The 20,133-nt window shown below is 39.8% G+C and overlaps 1 protein-coding gene and 1 pseudogene across 49 annotated transcripts in view, besides 1 other annotated feature; one reads left to right on the top strand and one right to left on the bottom strand.

The window, feature by feature from the left end:
* Window positions 1-20,133, top strand: part of CPLANE1 (ciliogenesis and planar polarity effector complex subunit 1) — a 173,708-nt gene that overhangs the window by 21,912 nt on the left and 131,663 nt on the right. For all 49 annotated transcript variants that reach the window (XM_047417575.1, XM_047417572.1, XM_047417573.1 and 46 more), the window contains 6 exons: window positions 73-222; window positions 392-1,161; window positions 2,725-2,933; window positions 3,132-3,212; window positions 5,977-6,141; window positions 13,733-13,906. In XM_047417575.1, the coding sequence (XP_047273531.1) occupies window positions 73-222; window positions 392-1,161; window positions 2,725-2,933; window positions 3,132-3,212; window positions 5,977-6,141; window positions 13,733-13,906 (1,549 nt within the window). The remainder of the gene's footprint in view (window positions 1-72; window positions 223-391; window positions 1,162-2,724; window positions 2,934-3,131; window positions 3,213-5,976; window positions 6,142-13,732; window positions 13,907-20,133) is intronic.
* On the bottom strand, window positions 14,968-18,466 carry OFD1P17 (OFD1 pseudogene 17; annotated as a pseudogene).
* Window positions 18,227-18,386: an enhancer, noted in NCBI's record as "active region_22485". NCBI's record gives its function as "activates an Ori minimal core promoter by ATAC-STARR-seq in GM12878 lymphoblastoid cells {active_cell/tissue: GM12878}" and the evidence as "EXISTENCE:reporter gene assay evidence [ECO:0000049][PMID:35858748]".

Below are 20,133 nucleotides of genomic sequence, written 5' to 3'. Positions count from 1 at the left end.
ATTTTTAATTGCTTATAATAGAATTACAGATAACATTTTGCTCTTGGAAATCTTTCATCTTTTCTTCTTTAGCCAAAAGGCAAAGGACTGAACTTGCGATCACTGAATTCCCTAAGGTCTAGCCTGTTAGAACACCAAGGAAATGAAAGTTCAGCCGATTTCACTGTCCCCAAATTCTTGCAGGCAGAAGAAACAATAAATGAAAATGCAGCAGATTTTCAGGTACTTAGCAGCAGAATTTTATTTACTTGGAACAATTATGACTTTATTCCAAGAAACATATTCTGTTTTTCTCTTGTTAAAGGGAAGAGAAATTTAAGAACGCCAAAGTGATGCTATTGATAAGGTATTAAATGGTATTAAGTATCATTTTTTTCCCCTCATGTTTTAGGATTTTGAAGCAGAAGAAACTAACGAAGGCAGACACTTTCCAGACAACTTATGTCCTTTTTGGAACAAAAGAGATGATGTGCTGTGTAGTAGTATGAAGGAAGGAAGATTGGAATTTGCATCTATGTTTGATACGATACATGCAAAGGATGATAGTGAGGAGACAGATAGAACCATTACAGAACTGCATTCTATCCAGAAAAGTCTACTTGCAGCGTGGACTATAGGAATTTCAAAAACTGTGACAGAAAAAAATTTAATGTTAAATTACATAGTAGTTTGTATCACTCATTTTTTTTACATTCTTCAATTTATAAAATGTCCTTTTCCTAAACTTGATCTTGTTTTAAGCAAAAGCTCAAGACATAATGCATGGATACTTTGTATCTTTCAACTTTTTCATCAGTGTTTATCAATCCATTATTGGGATATAAGATACAAACAAGATGTGGGGCATTTGATAAAGCTGACCTCAAATACTGTAAAACTTTTGCTGACTCAGCAACAAAAGGGTCAGTTATTCTCAGAGAAACTTTTAGCTTGTTTTTATTTACTCAAAATGGTAGCTGACAATTTAAATGGTGTATACATTCTTCAACCTGAAGTTATTTCAGCATCAGCTGATGGAAGTAAAATAACAGCTCAAGACTCATTGGTGGTACCTATTTTTCAGATGTTTCAAGATAGTGGTTTTCAGAAAAACTGGTCTTGGAACTCATTTTTCAAGATTCATCCTCAAGTAGTAAATCCTGTGCAACAGCCAGGACACAGGTATAATCACTTATTTTAATACTGGGATACTATTAGCTTAGTTTTTTTTACTTTTTTAGAAACTGAGCTACAATTCCCATATTGTAAAATTCATCATTTTAAAATGTACTATTCAGTGTTTGTTAGTATATTTATAAGGTTGTGAAACTATTAGCACTAATTCCAGAACGTTTTTATCACCCCAGAAAGAAATCTTTTATCTGTTAGCACTCAGCATTATAGATTTTATTTTTTAAAATATTTAAGTACGTTTCAAAACATCATGTTAAATATGTCATGTTATACGTGATAAATGTATACACTTTTAGTTTGCCAAAAAAAATTGTTAGATTTATGCCAAATGTTGTACAATACATATTTTCTTAGTCTCGGAAAACCATGATCTTGAAAGATTTTGGTTTAGTTAAGTACTGTTAAAAAATGACCTCTTTTTTTTTTTTTTTTTTTTTTTGAGATGGAGTACACTCTTGTCCCCCAGGCTGGAGTGCGATGATGCAATCTCGGCTCACTGCAACCTCCGCCTCCTGGGTTCAAGTAGATTCTCCTGCCTCAGCCCCCCGAGTAGCTGGGATTACAGGCGCCTGCCACCACGCTTGGCTAATTTTTGTATTTTTAGTAGAGACGGGGTTTCACCATGTTGGCCAGGCTGATCTAGAACTCCTGACCTCAGGTGATCCGCCCGCTTCAGCCTCCCAAAGTGTTGGGATTATAGGCGTGAGCCACCACGCCCGGCCAAAATGACCTCTTAAAAAAATGACCTCTTTAAAAAATTAGGCTGGGCGCAGTGGCTCACGCCTGTGATCGAGCACTTTGGGAGGCTGAGGTGGGTGGATCACTTGACCCCAGGACTAGCTTGGGCAACACGATGAAACTCCGCAACTAAAAAATTAGCCAGGCCTATTGGCATGTGCCTGTAATCCCAGCGACCCAGGAGGCTGAGGTGGGAGGATTGCTTGAGTCCAGGAGGCAGAGGTTGAGCAGATATCACGCCACTGCATTCCAGCATGGGCGACAGGAGGAGACCTTGCCTGAAAAGAAAAAAAAAACAGTGTGGTGCACCTGTGGTCCCAGCTACCTGGGAGGCTGAGATGGGAGGATTGCTTGAGCCCGGGAGGCTGAGATGGGAGGATTGCTTGAACCCAGGAGGTTGAGGCTACAGTAAGCTGTGATGGAGCCACTGCAATTCAGCCTGGCAACAGAGCAAGACCCTGTCTCCCAGGCTGGAGTGCAGTGGCACATACCTGTAATCTCACCTGTTCGGGAGGCTGAGGTAGGGTGATCGCTTGGGCCCAGGAGTTTGAGATCAGTCTGGGCAACGTAGTGAGACCTTGTGTCTTAAAAAAAAAAAAAAAAAAAAGATTACAGGTGCTTAAAATATTTATGAAGATTTTATATAAGGCATTTTTTAATCATTTTATTTTGCACTATATTTAAATGTGATCAGTTTGTATGTATGTTATACCGATGAAGAATACAGGCAAAAAAAAAAATAGGCTAAAAAGGAGGCTAAACTCATCATTAGCCTGAAATTTGCTTTTGATAATTACCTGATTTTATGTGCAGATTGCTTATTCTCTGGAGAATACTGTACAAAAAAACTTTATGGTATCAAGCACAATTAAATCGAAGAGTTCCTGAAGCTGATAGTCAGTTAACTGAAAAGATGACACATGAAGCATCTACTGTCAAGTCCCTGTTATGTCATTTGCAGGCTAACCTACAGAGTACTGGAGATTGCTTGAATCAAACCTTAGAACTTAAATCTATCAATGGTCAGTATCTTATGAATATTTTCTAACTCCATGAATAAATGACATAGTTAACCAGACTTTGAATTTCTAATTGGTTGTAATGATTTGTTTTTCAAAATAATTTCTGGCTGAGCTCCATTAACTGGATTTTAAAACAAAGTAAATTTTTATGAAGTAATATAATTAACTATGACTAATTGTTGGTTAAAAACTTTCTAGGGGAAGAATGTTTTTTATTAGGATCATATGAAAAGTCTGTTCAGCTGTGGAAAAAAGCTCTACAAGAAATCGAAGAGAAAGGTAAGAGAGTGTTAAAAAATATGTGCCATAATATTAGCAGGACTCCTTTTAGCTTGCTGTAGACCTTAACAGTAATTCTAAATTCCAAAAAATATGTGCCATTATATTAGCAGGACATCTTTTAGCTTGCCATAGACCTTAAAAATAATTCTAAATTTCAGAGTGCTTATGATATCCTAATGCCAAATAGAATACATGTTGTAGGCAACTTGACACTCATGAATACTTATTTAAAATTATTCTTAACCTTGGAATTGGTAACACTAAAAATCTTTTCAGTGATCTGTAGATAAGTCTCCTTCTGTCCTTTCTTTGATTTGTGATAAAGCCTGTGGTTGATTGTTGATGGGAAAAATGAGATTTAGATCCTAAATAAAATAATGTGGTTTTTTTTTTGTCATTTAGAGAGACTGCAAGTATCTCAATAGGAAACTATAGGTCATATATTTCACCACCTTCTTACAGACTTAGAGAAACATGGAGCGAGGGCTTTTTGCCTTTAAGTAATTTAACTTTAAGAATTGTATGTAAGTTAAACGTATCATTGCATTAAGTATGGGCTTCGAGGAGTTTTTGATAAGGATATGGGGTGTGGATGTTAGAAACAAGTTATAGCTTTTATGATACAGAGCTGAGGGTATGGCTGAGATGACAGAGGTTCTCAGCTGGTGACCCTGGAACCCTGACTGCAACTCCTACGTGGTCAGATTTGGTCTATTATTACATTTATTTTCTGACTGCTGTGGCTTTGTATATTTCATTAATTCATTTACTTAACCAGTCTTTGTTGAGTGCCTGCTATGTGCCCAGCACTGTATTAGGCACTAGGGATAACTGAAATAAACAACTTTACCTTCAAGTTGCCTACAGTCACTTTTCTCATTATGTTTTATGGTAGATGTTTAGGGAGCACAGAAGAACACCTCAATACAATCAGGCTGGAGTGCAAGCATCAGTCTGGGGAAAGCCTCTTGGAGTTGACATTTAAAATTGAGTAGAGATTGGCCAATTAAGGTCATGGGAATGACTTAACAGAGTATATAGTGTTCCAAAACCAAAAAGGCCTGAGAAACCATGGCAATTTGGTAAACTTCAAGTAGTTTAGTAGGACTAGATTATGTGATATATGTATATGTGATATTGGCGGTAGGATCATAAGAGCTAAGTTGAGAGGCAGATGGACAACAGATGATGAAGGAGGGTCTTTAATGGAGTGGTAAGGAATTAAGATTTTATCTTGAAGACAGTGGAATCAGTTAAGACACTTTAGGTAGGAAAGGGACTTGTACAAATAAGAATAGGCTGTTTAGAAAGATCACTTTGGTACAGTTGTGGAAGGCCAGTTGCAGGACTATGACATAGGGGCGTGGGTTTTACTTGGAGGCAAGAAAATCAGTCAGACGAGAAGCCTTGAAACCAAAGCAATGTCAAGGGTAATGGAGAACAGAGGTTACATTTGACAGTTATTTAATAGGCTTGATCAGTCTACTTGTGATTGAGTAGATTTGGAGAAAGAAGGCTAGTGTAGTTCTCTGACTTGGGGATTGTCCATCTGGATGAAAAGAGCAGCATTCACTGAGATCTGAAGTTCTGGGTATAGAAAAGTTTTTGTAATGAGTTCCATTATGGACATTTTGTTTAATTTCATTTACAACTACATCCATTAGGAATGGCTTCTAGTAATGGAGATTGAAAGTAGCAGTGGCTTCAACAGAGAAAGAGTGGCTTTCCTTTGTGAAAGGAGGGCAGAAGTTGCAGTTTGGGGCTGATTTGGTGTTTCCATGGTATCACCAAGGCCCCAGGCTCCTTTAGTTTTTCTGCTGCATCATCTTTAGTGCATTGCTTCCAATCTTAAGGCCATTACCTAAGCTAAGATGGTTCCTGGACCTTCAGCTATCACATCCATGCTCTAGGCAGCAAATAGGACAAAGGTTGGAAGAGCTAGAAAGGTTGCATTTCCTAGCTGATTTACCTTTCTTTAAGCAGCTTTTCTGGAAATTGCATACAATGTTATCTCTTGAATCAGAACATAGTCACATTTTTACATGGCCACATCTAGGGAGAAATTGTGATCTGGGTGCATTATATCCCCAAATAAGATTGGTATTATTTTACTCAGAAAGAATGGATAAGAGGTAGGCAACCAGCAGTTTCATTCTTCAGATACGTAAAGGCAGTTGTCAGGGGCTCCTATCTTATTGGATAACTGTTTCTTCTGCTTCAGTAAGTCTCTTTGGCCATCCCTTTGATATACATATGGTTCCTTGGAGTTTTTTGTGGCATGTTCCCTTTTGTTTCATACTGTGTATACTTGAGATAAAAGTTATTAGTAGACCTTAATGTTAAGATGATAAGAATTTGCAGCTTTCTTTGGATAAAATCTAAGTCATCCTAGGGTGTGATGAAAGAAAATAAATTGTTTAGAATTTAAAATGAAAAAGAGCAAAGTATGCTAAAAAAATATAAGATAGGAGCCCCTGACAACTGCCTTTACATATCTGAAGACTGAAACTGCTGGTTGCCTACCTCTTATCCATTCTTTCTGAGTAAAATAATTCCAATTTTATTTGGGGATGTAATGTACCCAGATCACCTGTGAAAAAAATCATTTATTGAAGTGTGAAACAGATGCAGAAAAGTTTACATATCATGAGTGTACAACTTGATGAATTTTCACAAACTACACACTCCCGTCAATTGAGCACTACACCAAGGGCATTCCTTTGCTTACATACTTTTAAGGTGAGCTTACTTCTTGTTTCAGGAGGAAGAAGGACGTATTTTCTTCAGATACGCTATTATCTTTCTCTCTTATACTGCCACCTCTATAGCTATAATTTAAATGATGCTCAAGGATTGTGTGATCAGCTAGCAAGAGAAATCCTGAGATGGTCCCAACTACCTGTAAAAGAAAATAAAGATTTTTCAGGTATGCTTTTTTTTTTCTTTCTTTGTATTTTTAAAAAGAGACAGGGTCTCCCTATGTTGCCAGCCTGGCTTCAAACCCCTGAGCTCAAGTAATCCTTCTACCTCAGCCGCCTCAAGTGGCTAGGACTACAGAATGCAGTATGTTTACTTGTTAGTTTGTATTTTTAGTGTAGACATGAAATTGCTTATACATAAAAGTTGGTTGTTCTACCTCTCTGGTGATTAAGTATATTATGTTGGATTTTGGACTCTCAGCTTCCCAATAGCAGGGACTATGTTGAAGTTTTTTGTTTGTTTGTTTTTAAATCTTAGAATCCCCAGGATTTAACAGTATAGTAATTGCCTGCTGAGCTGATAGTATGATTGCTTTCTTACAACCCTATTTGTTAGACATAATTTTAGGACCCAAGTGTTTTTTCCTTAGTATGTTAACTATTGCTTACAGCAGTTTAGTGAAATCATAAAAATCATTTTCCGAGAATATTTTTAGTCTTTTAAAAAATCTGGGCCGGGCACAGTGGCTCACGCCTGTAATCCCAGCACTCTGGGAGGCCAAGGCAGGTGGATCACAAGGTCAGGAGATGAGACGATCCTGGCTAACATGGTGAAACCCCTTCTCTACTAAAAATACAAAAAAATCAGCCAGGCTTGGTGGCGGGCACCTGTAGGCCCAGCTCTGAGGCAGGAGAATGGCATGAACCTGGGAGGTGGAGCTTGCAGTGAGCGAGCCAAGGTAGCGCCACTGCACTCTAGCCTGGGTGACAGAGCCAGACTCCATCTCAAATTAAAAAAAAAAAAATCTGTTTAAGAGATTGCAGAGTATCTGGATTGACTTTTTCAAAGAGGTATATTTAAATTAGGCAATAACCAGAGGGAAAGATATATATGAATGAACATGTAATATATTTATAATGCTTATAGGGTGGTAGACTGCTAGATGTTTACTGTATATACGAATGTGTCTGAAAGGCCCAATGTATTTGAAATTTCTAAACAGAGTTGATAGCAATTTCATTCTTGATTGTTTCAGCCACTGTTTATAAATGTCTTATTTTGTGAGTTTTTTTTTTTTTTGAGATATGGTCTTATTCTGTTGCCGAGGCTGGAGTGTGGTTGAGTGATCTTAGCTTATCTGACCTCTGGCGCCTGGGCTCAAGCCATCCTTCCACCTCAGCCTCGTGAGTAGCTGGGACTACAGGTGTGTGCCACCACACCCAGCTAATTTTGTTTTTTTTGTAGAGATGGGATTTCACCATGCTGCCCAGGCTGATCTTGACTTCCTGGGCTCAAGCAATCCACCCACCTTGGCCTCCCAAAGTGTTGGGATTATAGGTGTGAGCCACTGTGCTTGGCTTACTTTCTGATTTTTATCTTTTTAAATTTTTATGTTCATTAAGGAAGTAATACGTGTTCATATTAGGCAATTTTGAAAATACAGAAAAGTAGAAAGGAAACAAAATCACTTACAAGTTTAGTTTTTTTTTGTCTAGGGCCTTTTGACACATGTATATGTATATATTACCGGAGCTGGATAGTCTTATAAATTTAAAATTATGATGAATATTTTCCAGTGCCAATAAACTTAAAAAAATCTATTGAATCTTTTTCCCATTATTGTACATTTTGTTGCCATGTATTTACTATTTTAAATAATGCTGCAGTGTACCTAAATATTTGTGAGCATTACTAATAATTTCTCTAAGATAAATTCCGAGAAATGAGTCTGCTGGGAAATGAGGTAGCTGGAACCACAGGCATGTGCCTCACGCCTGGCTAATTTTTTTTTTCTTTTTTTTTGAGATGGAGTCTTGCTCTGTCACCCAGGCTGGAGTGTAGTGGCGTGATCTTGGCTTACTGCAACCTTTGCCTCCTGGGTTCAAGCGATTCTCCTGCCTCAGCCTCCTGAGTAGCTGGGATTACAGGCATGCGCCACCATGCCTGGCTGACTTTTGTATTTTTAGTAGAGATGGGGTTTCACCATGTTGGTCAGGCTGGTCTCAAACTCCTGACCTCGTGATCCACACACCTTGGCCTCTCAAAGTGCTGGGATTACAGGCGTGAGCCACTGTGCCCAGCCATGCGTGGCTAATTTTTAAAAATTATTTTATTATTTGTAGAGATGAGTCTTGGTATATTGCGCAGGCTGATCTCAAACTCCTGGGTTCAAGTGATCTTCACACCTCAGCCTCTCAAAATGCTGGGGTTATAGGTGTGAGCCACTGTACCCAGGGTGAAAGACTTCTGTATATGACTTTTTAAATGACAGGATAGTCTTTATTTATTTGTTTATTTTTGCAATATTGTCCTTACGTGATTTAACTTTCATGATAAGTTGAACCTGTAGTAATTCATTTGTTTTAATTTTTTTTTTTTTTTGAGATGGAGTTTCGCTCTTGTGGCACAGGCTAGTGTGCAATGGCACTATCTCAGCTCACTGCAACCTTCGCCTCCCAGTTTCAAGCAGTTTTCCTGCCTCAGCCTCCCGAGTAGCTGGGATTACAGGCGCCTGCCACCATGCCTAGCTAATTTTTGTATTTTTAGTAGAGACGGGGTTTCACCACATTGGCCAGGCTGTTCTTGAACTCCCGACCTCAGGTGATCCACTCACCTCAGCCTCTCAAAGTGCTGGGATTACAAGCGTGAGCCACCGCGCCCAGCTCATTTGTCTTAATTTTTAATGATGATTGCTTAAAATATATTAAGCATATACTTACTGGGTTGGGGACCCCAAAATTACCCCCTAGATTTGATGGTTCACTAGGAAAACTCAGAAGATTTAACATATAGTTGTACTCATAGCTATGATTTATTACAGTGAAAGAAAACAGCAAAATCAGCAAAGGGAAAAGGTGCATGGTATGAAGTTTGGAGAAAACCAGGAATAAGCTTCTATGAATCCTCTCCCAGTAGAGTCACACAGGATGTCCCTAGTTTCCTCAGTGACAAGTTGTGACAACATGTGAGATATAGTCTACCAGGGAAGTTCATTAGAACCTCAGTGCTCAGGGTTTTTAATTGGGGGGCTGGTCACATAAACCCCTTCTGCCTTAGTACAAACCAAAATTCTACACTCTCAGAGGGAAAACAGATGTTCAGCGTAAACCACATTGTTTATACAGTTTAGGTTCAGTGAGCTCTTCTTATCAGTTAGGGTGGTGGAAATCCTCCCAAAATCCAAGTTCCCAGATACCAGCCAAGGACCACCTTACAAGCAAGCATTTCAAGCAGTCATGCATGCTATGGTAGTTCCTTTCTGCACACCTACCTTATTAAATAATTGTCTATAGTTATTTAATTTTTATTAAATAGGGTTTCTATTATTTTTATTTTTATTTTTATTTTTTTGAGATGGAGTCTCGCTCTTGTCACCAGGCTGGAATGCAGAGGCACGATCTCGGCTCATTGCAACCTCTGCCTCCCGGGTTCAAGCAATTCTCCTGCCTCAGCCTCCTGAGTAGCTGGGATTACAGGCTCCTGCCACCACACCTGGCTAATTTTTTTTCTATTTTTAGTAGAGACAGAGTTTCACCATGTTGGCCAGGCTGGTATCGAACTCCTGACCTCAGGTGATCCTCCCCCCTCGGCCTCCCAAAGTGCTAGGATTACAGGCATGAGCCACTTCGCCCAGCCGGGTTTCTGTTATTAACATTAGCACTGCACCCTATACAGAATTACACTTTATTTTTATTTATTTATTTATTTATTTATTTATTTATTTGAGATGGTGTCTCGCTCTGTCGCCCAGGCTGGAGTGCAATGGCGCAGTCTCGGCTCACTGCAACTTCGGCCTCCTGGGTTAAAGTGATTCTCCTGCCTCAGCCTCACTAGTAGCTGGGATTACAAGCGTGCACCACCATGCCCAGCTAATTTTTTGTATTTTTAGTAGAGACGGGGTTTCACCATATTGGCCAGGCTGGTCTCTAACTCCTGACCTCAGGTGATCCACCTGCCTTGGCCTCCCAAAGTGCTGGGATTACAGGCATGAGCCACTGCACCCGGTCGAGATTTACACTTTGAAAATTTTTTTAACTTCTAAATTGATACAGCTTTATTCTGTGACAATAACTTTTATCATCAGGTCACTCCCTATTTAAGAGGCTGATTCCTGAGTTTTGCATAAGGTTTGAATGATTAAGATTACTGAAAATCTTACCTTTGTATAATTCCTCCATAAGTTTTACCCAGGAGAAAAAAATTTTTACCCAGGTATCTCTAACTCGAATGTGAAGAAATAGTGTGGTTTTTCCCCCCAAATATTACAGTGACTAAATGAAGACTACTGCTTGAAGGCTAATAAAATTTTCTCAATTCCTTTTGTTTAAAAAAAGAAACCAGGTAACATTAATTAACATTATTTTCTTTATTAACAATATTCCTTTGAGGGCCTACTATATGAGAGGAGAAGTGCTAGGTGCTGGGACATACAGTGAACAAGATAGAAATCCATACACATATAAAATGTAATTTCCCATGAATATGTGTCAGATCACTTCTGGAAAAGAAAGATACCTTTCTATTGTTGGAGCCATACACTTCATACCAACTAATGTTATCCTAGTATTTATCTATACAGTATTTAGTAGTTTTAAGCTAATTTATTTTCAAATTTGTGAATGCCAGCTTATATTATTATTGAGATTCTCAAGTGGGAATGACGCATGTCCTCTAATCCTGCTAGTGCACTTTGGAGTTATGCCAGAAATTTTGATGTGATTCTTCTGTCCACCTGCTATCTAGCCATCTCCCTTCACTCCACACATTTGTGTGCGTGTGTTTGAGATAGGGCCTCACTCTGTCACCTAGGCTGGAGTGCAGTGGCGTGATCACAGCTCACTGCAGCTTCAACCTCCCAGGCTCAAGTGATCCTCCTGCCTCAGCCTCCTGAGTAGCTGGGACTATAGGCACATGCCACCACACCTGGCTAATTTTTGTATTTTTTTGCAGTGATGGGGTTTCTCCATGTTGCCCAGGCTGGTATCAAACTCCTGGACGGACTCAAGTGATCCTCCATCCTGGGCCTCCCAAAGTGTGGGGATTACAGGCATGAGCCTCTGTGCCTGGCCCACCCCACACGTTCTTTTTGCTACTGCCTGCCCCCCAAAATCTTATACTAGTGAGCTACTATTACTAATGGGAGTATATTAAGATTCTCAGATCTAATGGTACAGACAAAAGCATTAAGAATCTTGGGTGGTCATGGTGGCTCACACCTGTAATCCCAGCATTTTGGGAGGCTGAGGCGGACCGATTACTTGAGCTCAGGAGTTCAAGACCAGCCTGTCCAACATGGCGAAACCCCATCTTGACCAAAAAAATACAAAAAAAATTAGCCGGTCAAGGTGGCGTGTGCCTATAGTCCCAGCTACTCAGGAGACTGAGGCGGGAAGATGGCCTAAACCTTGGAGGCAGAGGTTGCAGTGAGCTGAGAATGTGCCACTGCACTCTAGCTTGGGTGACAGAGCAGGATTCTTTCTCAAAAAACAAAAAAGAAAAAAAGAAAAAAATCTTATATCAGTGCTTTTTAGATTATTTTTGTAGTAAGCCCTGCCCCGTTTATCTTCAAAAAAAAAAAAAAAAAAAAAAAAGGAAAGAGAAGGAAAAACGGGAAATAAATAATGAAATTCTAAGCTTGCAAGGCTGTCGTGCCTGGGTCATTTTGTATAGATACCTCCATTTAAAAAATAAAACTTAAAGTTGTGAACAGTTCTTAGGTGTATGTGCACATAATTACTAACTACAGTTGACCATTGAACATCACAGGGGTTAGGAGCACCAACACCCTCATGCTGTCAAAAATTCGTGTATAACTTGACTCCCGAAAAACTTAACCATTAATAGCCTACTGTTGACTAGAAGCCTTACTGGTAACATAAATAGTTGATTAACATATATTTTATATGTTGTATATATTATATACTGTATTCTTAGAATAAAGTAAGCCAGAGAAAGGAAAGTTGTATTAAGAAAATCCTAAGAGGCCAGGTACAGTGGCTCATGTCTGTAATCCCAGCACTTTGGGAGGCCGAGGCGGGCAGATCACCTGAGGTCAAGAGTTCGAGACCAGTCTGACCAACATGGAGAAAACTGGTCTCTACTAAAAATACAAAATTAGCCGGGCGTGGTGGCACGTGCCTATAATCCCAGCTACTCAGGAGGCTGAGGCAGGAGAATCACTTGAACCCAGAAGGCGAGGTTTGTGGTGAGCTGAGATCGCACCATTGCACTCCAGCCTGGGCAATAAAAGTGAAACTCTGTCTCAAAAAGAGAAAAAAAAATCATAAGGGAAAATACATTTCCAGTATTGTACTGTATTTATTGATACCACAAGTTTATGTTATCTGTTTCCAAGATTAATTGTCTGAAATGGTAGACAACCATAGCTGCAGACCTCAATCCATGGTATGTCTCAAGTAATTCAACTTTTACTTGTAATGTCATGATTTTTTTCTGCTTATTCAGAACACTTCCAGGATCTCTGGTGGCACTTCCTGTAGGTCTTATGGTGTTATTCAAGGTTTATGGTACTGCACTAAACGTGATGAGAACTACACAAGAATTGTGAGGTTGCTTTTTATTGCCATGTGCACTTTACTAGAGAGATGAACTGCTCATGCAGAGATGATTAGCATCACACAGTATTTTAAGCAAATACTTGCAACACTTGAACTCCTCAAAATAGCAACAGGAAGTAGCTGCAAAATTAATACAGTAGTACAGTAGGAACTACAATGAATTTTATGCAGTTATTTAATACTTTATCTTTATGTGTGTTTACATTTCTCTTGACTGTGAACAGTGCCATATATGGCCTGTAAGTGTTTGTGTAAATTTTGATAATTTTTTTTTGAGTCAGGGTCTATCTAGCTCTGTTGCCCAGGCTGGAGTGCACTGGCACAATCTCAGCTTACTGCAGCCTCCGCCTCCTAGACTCAAGCGATCCTCCTACCTCAGCACCCTGAATAGCTGGGACTATAGGTGCGCACAACCATGCCCAGCTAATGTTTCTTTTTATTGTATTTTTCTGTAGAGGTGGGATTTCACCATGTTGCCCAGGCTGGTCTCAAACTCCTGAGCTCAAGAGATCAGCCCACCTTGGCCTTCCAAAGTGCTGGGATTATAGGTGTAAGCCACTGTACCCAGCCAATTTTGATAAATTTTAACTTTTTATAGTTTATATGTATTTTATGGTACTAAATGATAAAATAATTATTTACATATATTTTTTATATTGATGACATACCTTTTTCTTTTTTTATTGATATTTCTAGGTTATGTGGTATGCCTACAAATTTTTTCAAATTGTCACAAATCTCCAAAACATTTTCTAGTACATTTATGGAAAAAAAATCTGTATATATAAGTGGATTTATGCAGTTCAAACCCGTGAAGTTCAAGGGTCAATTGTAATTGTTTCTGGTTTTATTGTCTTTAAGAAGTACGGTACCTATTATAATTCAGCTTGTATTGGCCATGGGTGCTTATCTCAGAAAAAAAGGTATTGCAATTTTCTTTTTGTATAATGTTGGGAACTTAAATATTATTACTTTTGGTAGTTGATCACAATCTTCTTAGGTCATTGCTGTATTCCTTAGGTGCTGCAAAGTCTCATTTTGAGTGTGGAATGGTGGGCGGTGTTCATCCTGAGGCAGCAGTGAGAGTCGTCCAGTCCATGGCTCGTTTCATGGCTGCCTATTTCACCAATCAGCAGCTTTGCATTTTGCCCCCTCATCATGTGAATGTTCTTCCCCCACTTCATATTAAAACAGGTAATGTAGTAAACAAATCCTTTTTAAACTTTTTTTGCATTGCACATAATATAATATTTAAAACATATTATACAGAGGCCATTACTCAATGATACTGTTCTAGCATAGTATCTGAAACATAGGAGGTGATTTATGACTATGAATGAATAGAATCTGAGAAAAGTAATGGCTTAGATTCGTTTTTACTGAACATGGCTTTTTAAAATCACAAAATTGGGACAAGTTGATCTTTATAAAGTTTTTAGTTTTAAATTTTAATTTATTAATTATTTCTTTTTAGAGATGGAATTTTGCTATATTGCTCAGACTGTTTTTGAACTCCTGGCCTCAAACAATCTTTTCTTTTTTTTGAGACTGAGTTTCGCTCTTGTTGCCCAGGGTGGAGTGCAATGGTGTGATCTTGGCTAACTGCAACCTCCACCTCCTGGGTTCAAGCAATTTTCCTGCCTCAACCTCCCAAGTAGCTGGGATTATCGGCATATGCCACCACACCTGGCTAATTTTTTGTATTTAGTAGAGACAGGGTTTCACCACGTTAGTCAGGCTGGTCTCGAACTCCTGACCTCAGGTGATCCACCTGCCTTGGCCTCCCTGCTGGGATTATAGGCGTGCGCCACGTGCCCGGCCAAATGATCTTAACCACCTCAGCCTCCCAAGTAGCAGGGACTATAGGTGTGCCCAGCTGAAGTTTCAATTTTTAAAGTGAAAGAGCTGCCACCTTCATTTATGTCAAAATGTAGAGATTTAATAAATATTGAGCCTGCTAATTCAGTATTTAATGTTATTTGGATGATTTACTTTTATTATTTTATTTGGACCATTTACTTTTTAAATTTAATACTTTCATTAGTATGGTCAAAATGCATCTAATCCTGTGCTAGATAACTGCCCTGCTCTCAGTATAAACAGGTACACAAATTTCTATGATATTCATTCATTCTAATTTTTATTAAGTGCCTACTATTTGCCACACAGTATTCTTAGTGCTGCACATATACTAGCTTGCACCACATGAAATTGATAATACGAAAACATTTGTAGTTTCTTTCTTTTTTTTTTTTTTGGATTACACATTTTTATTCAGAGTTTTATCTGTTGATAGAGAAACATTTACAAAGGAGTAAATGTTATGTAATTTCTCATGGTATGTAAGTTAGAAGCTGGGCAGCAAACATGGTTACCAAGAGTCATCTGGTTCTTCATGAGAAAAGCGTGTTAAACTTTCGACTTTGTCACTACATTGCAGTGTGTCCACTAGGGAGCCTTCCTGGACCATCTTTTTTGAGCTCTTATCTGCCGACTCCTGGTCTTGCTGGATGATTTTCATGTATTTCTCTAAAGGATTTTCACTGTGAGCAGATTTGTCTTTCATTTCTTGATTACTCATTTCTAATTCATTTTCCATTTCAATCTTCAGTGATTCTTCAGTCATCCTCCTTTCCTGATACAGTTTTTCTAGTTCTCTTCTTTCCCTTTCTAAAATTTCTTGTAGGTTACTCTGCCTTCTTTCTTCTCTCTGCTTTCGTTCTTTCACTTGCTGTTCCCATATTTTTTCTTCTTCCTTTTGTTCTTCAATTTGTTTCTGATCTACACTTGGGTGCTGATATGAGAGGGGCACAGCAGCTACAGCTGCGCCCATATGAAGCATATCCCCGGCAGGAGAGGGCCCATCCATTTCAAACTGCCTTGGCACATTCCGTGCATATTCAAAAGATGATTCAAATTCCTCGTTATCCTTAAAAGCTAGCTTGTCCGCATCTGAAAATTCACTTTTGTCTTGAAGTTCATTTTGTCTCCAGTAAAGACCCGCTTTCTGCTCCGGAGGGCTGGAGAAGGGAGGGATGGAGAGGTTGTGCCTAGACTCAGCGGGTGATGGCGGGGGCATTCTGTCAGGATAAGGACTGGGGGAAGCAATGTGTGATCTGCCCAGACCTTCCAGATATATTTCACTTTCAAGGCTTCTTTTTGCTTTTGGAAGGGGTGTGGAGGAGAGGCGTCTGGAGGAAGTGCCCCCGCATAGCCTTGAGGCTGCACTGCCTGTCAGGGCTTCCAAGATGTCATTCCTTTCTTCTTTAAGTGTGCCCACTTGAGGCTGCTCAGAGACAACTCTGTCCTCTGCAAAAATACGTCTTTCCGGGGAACTGGAAGTAATGTTTTTGAAGGCTTCCAGCAAGTGCAGAGATGGTGGGCTCTTTGCTGGTAGTGGGCCTTTGGCAGAGTTTTTAATGTCTCTCCGATGGTAACTTCTGAAAGCCTTTTCCAAGCGTTCCGCCTCTTGCTGAAGCTGTTTGACCCTTGCATTAGTATTGGCGACAAACTCAAGGTCAGAATCAGGGGAACTACCCTCCATCCCTGCATTTGGATAATTTGTGATCCTTGATGCAACCGTACCTGCTAGAACTTTTTCCTGTTTAAAAGGATTGTTCAAGAAATCCCCACTTATCTCACCATTGTGAAGCACCATGTTGCCATTTATTAATCCATTGGCAGAATGATGGATCACAGACTGCTTTGGATTGCAGTACACTTCATTCTCTAGGGCTGTCTGAGTTTGCTTCAATTGCGATTTTAAATCGGCAACCTGAATAGTTAACCTCTTTATGGAAACTTTGTAACCTAGTATCTGGGCCTTCAACTGTGTAGTATGCTCAATTTCATCTTGCAGTTGTTTGTGCAGAGCTTGTTTGCGGCTTTCGAACTCCTCATGCTCAACCACTGTAGCCTTTTCTGCTCTCCTTAGTTCTTTCTGAAAGACCGCAAGTTCAGGAGCCAGCTGAGCTAGGCGGTTTAGGAGACGCAAGTTTTCATTTCTACTCTCTTCCAGTTGTTGTTTAAGTAATTTATTTTGTGCCAGAAGCTCCAGTCTCTCTTCTTTTAGTAGTGAATAGTCACTCATCACTTTAACCTTTTCATTCAGCATATGGTTTTGTTTTGTTATTGCCAAAGACTGGGCTTTGACAGACTCTAATTCAAGCTCAAGTTCTTTCATGCGATTTATAGATTGATTGAGTTCCTCCTTTTTTGAATTAAAAGCTATGAGCTCCTCTTGCAAATGAACAGCTTTTTCTTTATTCTTCCTTTCATCTTCAATCAGTCGATTAGTTCTAATGATGTAGTCGTCCTTTAGTTCAAGTTGATACTTTAGGAGTTCATTCTTGAGTTTTTGGTCATAGGTCTTCTCAAAACTCTTTATATTCTGCTCCCGTCTCCTAAGTGCCTCAGTCATACTTTTATGTTTTTCTTCCTGGAGCTTCTGGTTCAGTTCAAAAGCTTCAACTCTTTGCTTCAGCTCTGCTTCTCTTCCTCTTAGCAAATCCATATCTTTTAGTAAAAGTTGCCTTTGAGCATAAATCTCTTTTGTTTCAATCTCTTGGTGCTTTTGAATTCTCTCAAGGGTGCTCTTTTCCCGAATAACAAGGGCTTCAGATTTTGCTTGACAAGCTTTCTCAAAATCATTCTGGAACACGGCTAATTCCTTCTCATACTTTTTTTTTGCTTCCATTTTAATTTTTCCTATTTCGGTATCTTTAAAAAACTTCAACTTTTGACATATTTCTTCCCGAAGTTGCTCTTCTATTTCTCTCTTATATTCATTTAGCTTTATTTCTAAAGACTCAAACTTGATACGCTGAGGGTAAGCATCTGCAAACTGATCATCAATAAGCTGAAGCTTCTCAGCCAGAGAATCTCTGCTAAATGTCGAACTTGTCTGAGTTTCCATATTACAACTTTCTTTAGCTTGATGATATTCTGCCAATCCTTTTAAAAAATGCATAAGAAAACCTTTTTGGTTTTCTTTATCAGCTCCTGAAACCAGTGATTTGTACAGACTGGAAGTAGGGTTGATTTTAATGAGTTGTAATAGATCCTGCATAGTAAATACCTTTTCTTTTGCCAAACCACTTTCTAGAAAGAAAACAGAAAGTGAATATTCACAGCCACATCTTTGTAAGTGATCTGCCACTAAAGAGTTAGAGGCACTTATTAAGAGGGAGCTCCCTTGCACTGAAATGGACTGAGGTTGCAGTTCTCCACTCAATACAGGGTGCATTAACTCATGAATTAGCTGGTTTCGAAGTTGTATCTTGAGTGTTTCCAGTATACCCCGATCCTTAAATGTCTGGTATAGCTTTTTGCGCAGTTCATTTTGACTCAACACATCAGCCACGGGGAGCATGTTGGACTGAGCCATCATCAGCCGTCAGCTTCCTCCGGAGCCCGCCTCGCTCGCCCCGCCGTGGCCCGAGTTTAGTGCCCAGCTGGGGCTGTAGGGCCAAGACGAGGGGGAATCCCTGCCCTCCAGAGCCCTGCTTCTGTCCTGAGGGGTCGGGAGGAACAAGGGTGCTGAACGCTCTCTGCCTTGCACTCCCAACTAGGTTTTCTAACAAACACGCTAGCTTCCTTTCTTCGCGGTTCTGAGGAATGAGTGAGGACCGTGACCCAGTCACGAATCAAAGGCGGCTGGAGGGCGGGGACCCGGAGACTAGGGACAGAAGGCGGCAAGGCAGGACCGCCTCACATCCCATCCTTCGTCTCCCGAGACCGGCTCAGTACAGCCTTCCCGTTCTGGAGAGCTACGGCGCATGCGCATGTTTTCTTTTTTTCTTTTCTTTTTTTTTTTCATCTGTGAAACAGATTTATCCTAACTGCAATGAACAAAGTGATAAAGTACTTGTTCTTTTACGGGGTTTACGTCTAATATGTTGAGACAGAAATTTAAATATATAAACAAGATATATCAAATGGTTATAACTGTTATGGAGAGAATTAAAATAGAGCAATACAGCGTGACTGAGTGGCAATTTGAGATTGGAATTTCAGGAGTAGCTCTCTGAGGAGGTGAAAGTTAAGCTGAACTCTTTTTTTTTTTTGGGGGGGGGGGGAGACAGAGTCTTGCTCTATCGCCCAGGCTGGAGTGCAGTGGCGCAGTCTCGGCTCACTGCAAGCTCCGCCTCCTGGGCTCGTGCCATTCTCCTGCCTCAGCCTCCTGAGTAGCTGGGACTACAGGCGCCCACCACCTCGCTGGGCTAATTTTTTGTATTTTTAGTGGAGACGGGGTTTCACCGTGTTAGCCAGGATGGTCTCGATCTCCTGACCTCCTGATCCGCTCACCTCGGCCTCCCAAAGTGCTGGGATTACAGGCGTGAGCCACCGCTCCCGGCCTCTAAGCCGAACTCTTAATAACAAAAAAGAGTTGGATACATCAAGGCACAGGGCATTCTAACCTGAGTTTGTGTAAAAGCCCCAGGGCAAGAACAAGTTTGATGTGTTTGAGAAACGGAAAGATCTGTGTGGCTGTAAACTAGAGGAGGAGGGCTGGGCATGTTGGCCTATGCCTGTAATCCCAGCACTTTGGGAAGCCAGGCCGATTGCTTGAGTTCAGGAGTTTGAGATCAGCCTGGGCAACATTATGAAACCCTGTCTCTACAAAAAATACAAAAATTAGCCCGCCATGGTGACATGTACCTGAGATTCCCAGTCACTTGGGAGGCTGAGGCAGGAGGATTGCTTGAGCCCAGATGACAGAGGTTGCAGTGAGATCACGTGATTACACTCCAGCTTGGATGACAGAGCAAGACTGTCTCAAACAAAACAAAACAAAACAAAACAAAAACAACAACAACAAAAAAACCAAAGCAAACAAAAAAAAACTAGAGAAGGAAGTGGAGAGTGATATGAGTTGCATTCAGTAAAGGGGCCAGATGATGTAAGCCATGTTAAGAAATCTGAATTTTAAGTATCATGGGAAGCTGTTGGAGGGCTTTAAGCAAGAGTAGACATGAACAGATACATATGTATGTACAAGGCACACCTAAGTTAGAGTAGTACAAGTTAAAATACTATCAGAAATTTAATAAAGATGGCAACAAGTGGTCAGCAAATATAATCAGTCGTAGAACCATGGATTTTGAACTATGTGTTCAAACTCCTATGTTCTGTGAATGTTTCAGGATGCATATACATTTCATGTTAATTTTTCTAATCAGAATGTTTCTAGGGATTTGAGTTGCTTATTTGGTGTGATATTTTAAAAGGTCGTGAACTTTTTTACTGTGTGAAAGTAGTAAAATTTTCAGAAAATTTAATTATTCAAGTTATTTTAATGGTATATTACCTTGCTCGTAGTGAATAAAAATAGGAAAAATTTAGCCAGTCTCCTGGCTCCTTTGCTTATGCAAAATCAGACATCCAAGTGGTTGAAAACTTTTTGTTTTTCCTGATGTGTT

The sequence above is a fragment of the Homo sapiens genome, chromosome 5, assembly GCF_000001405.40.
Source record: "Homo sapiens chromosome 5, GRCh38.p14 Primary Assembly".
NCBI lineage: Eukaryota > Metazoa > Chordata > Mammalia > Primates > Hominidae > Homo > Homo sapiens.
This window is presented reverse-complemented; position numbering and strand designations above follow the sequence as displayed.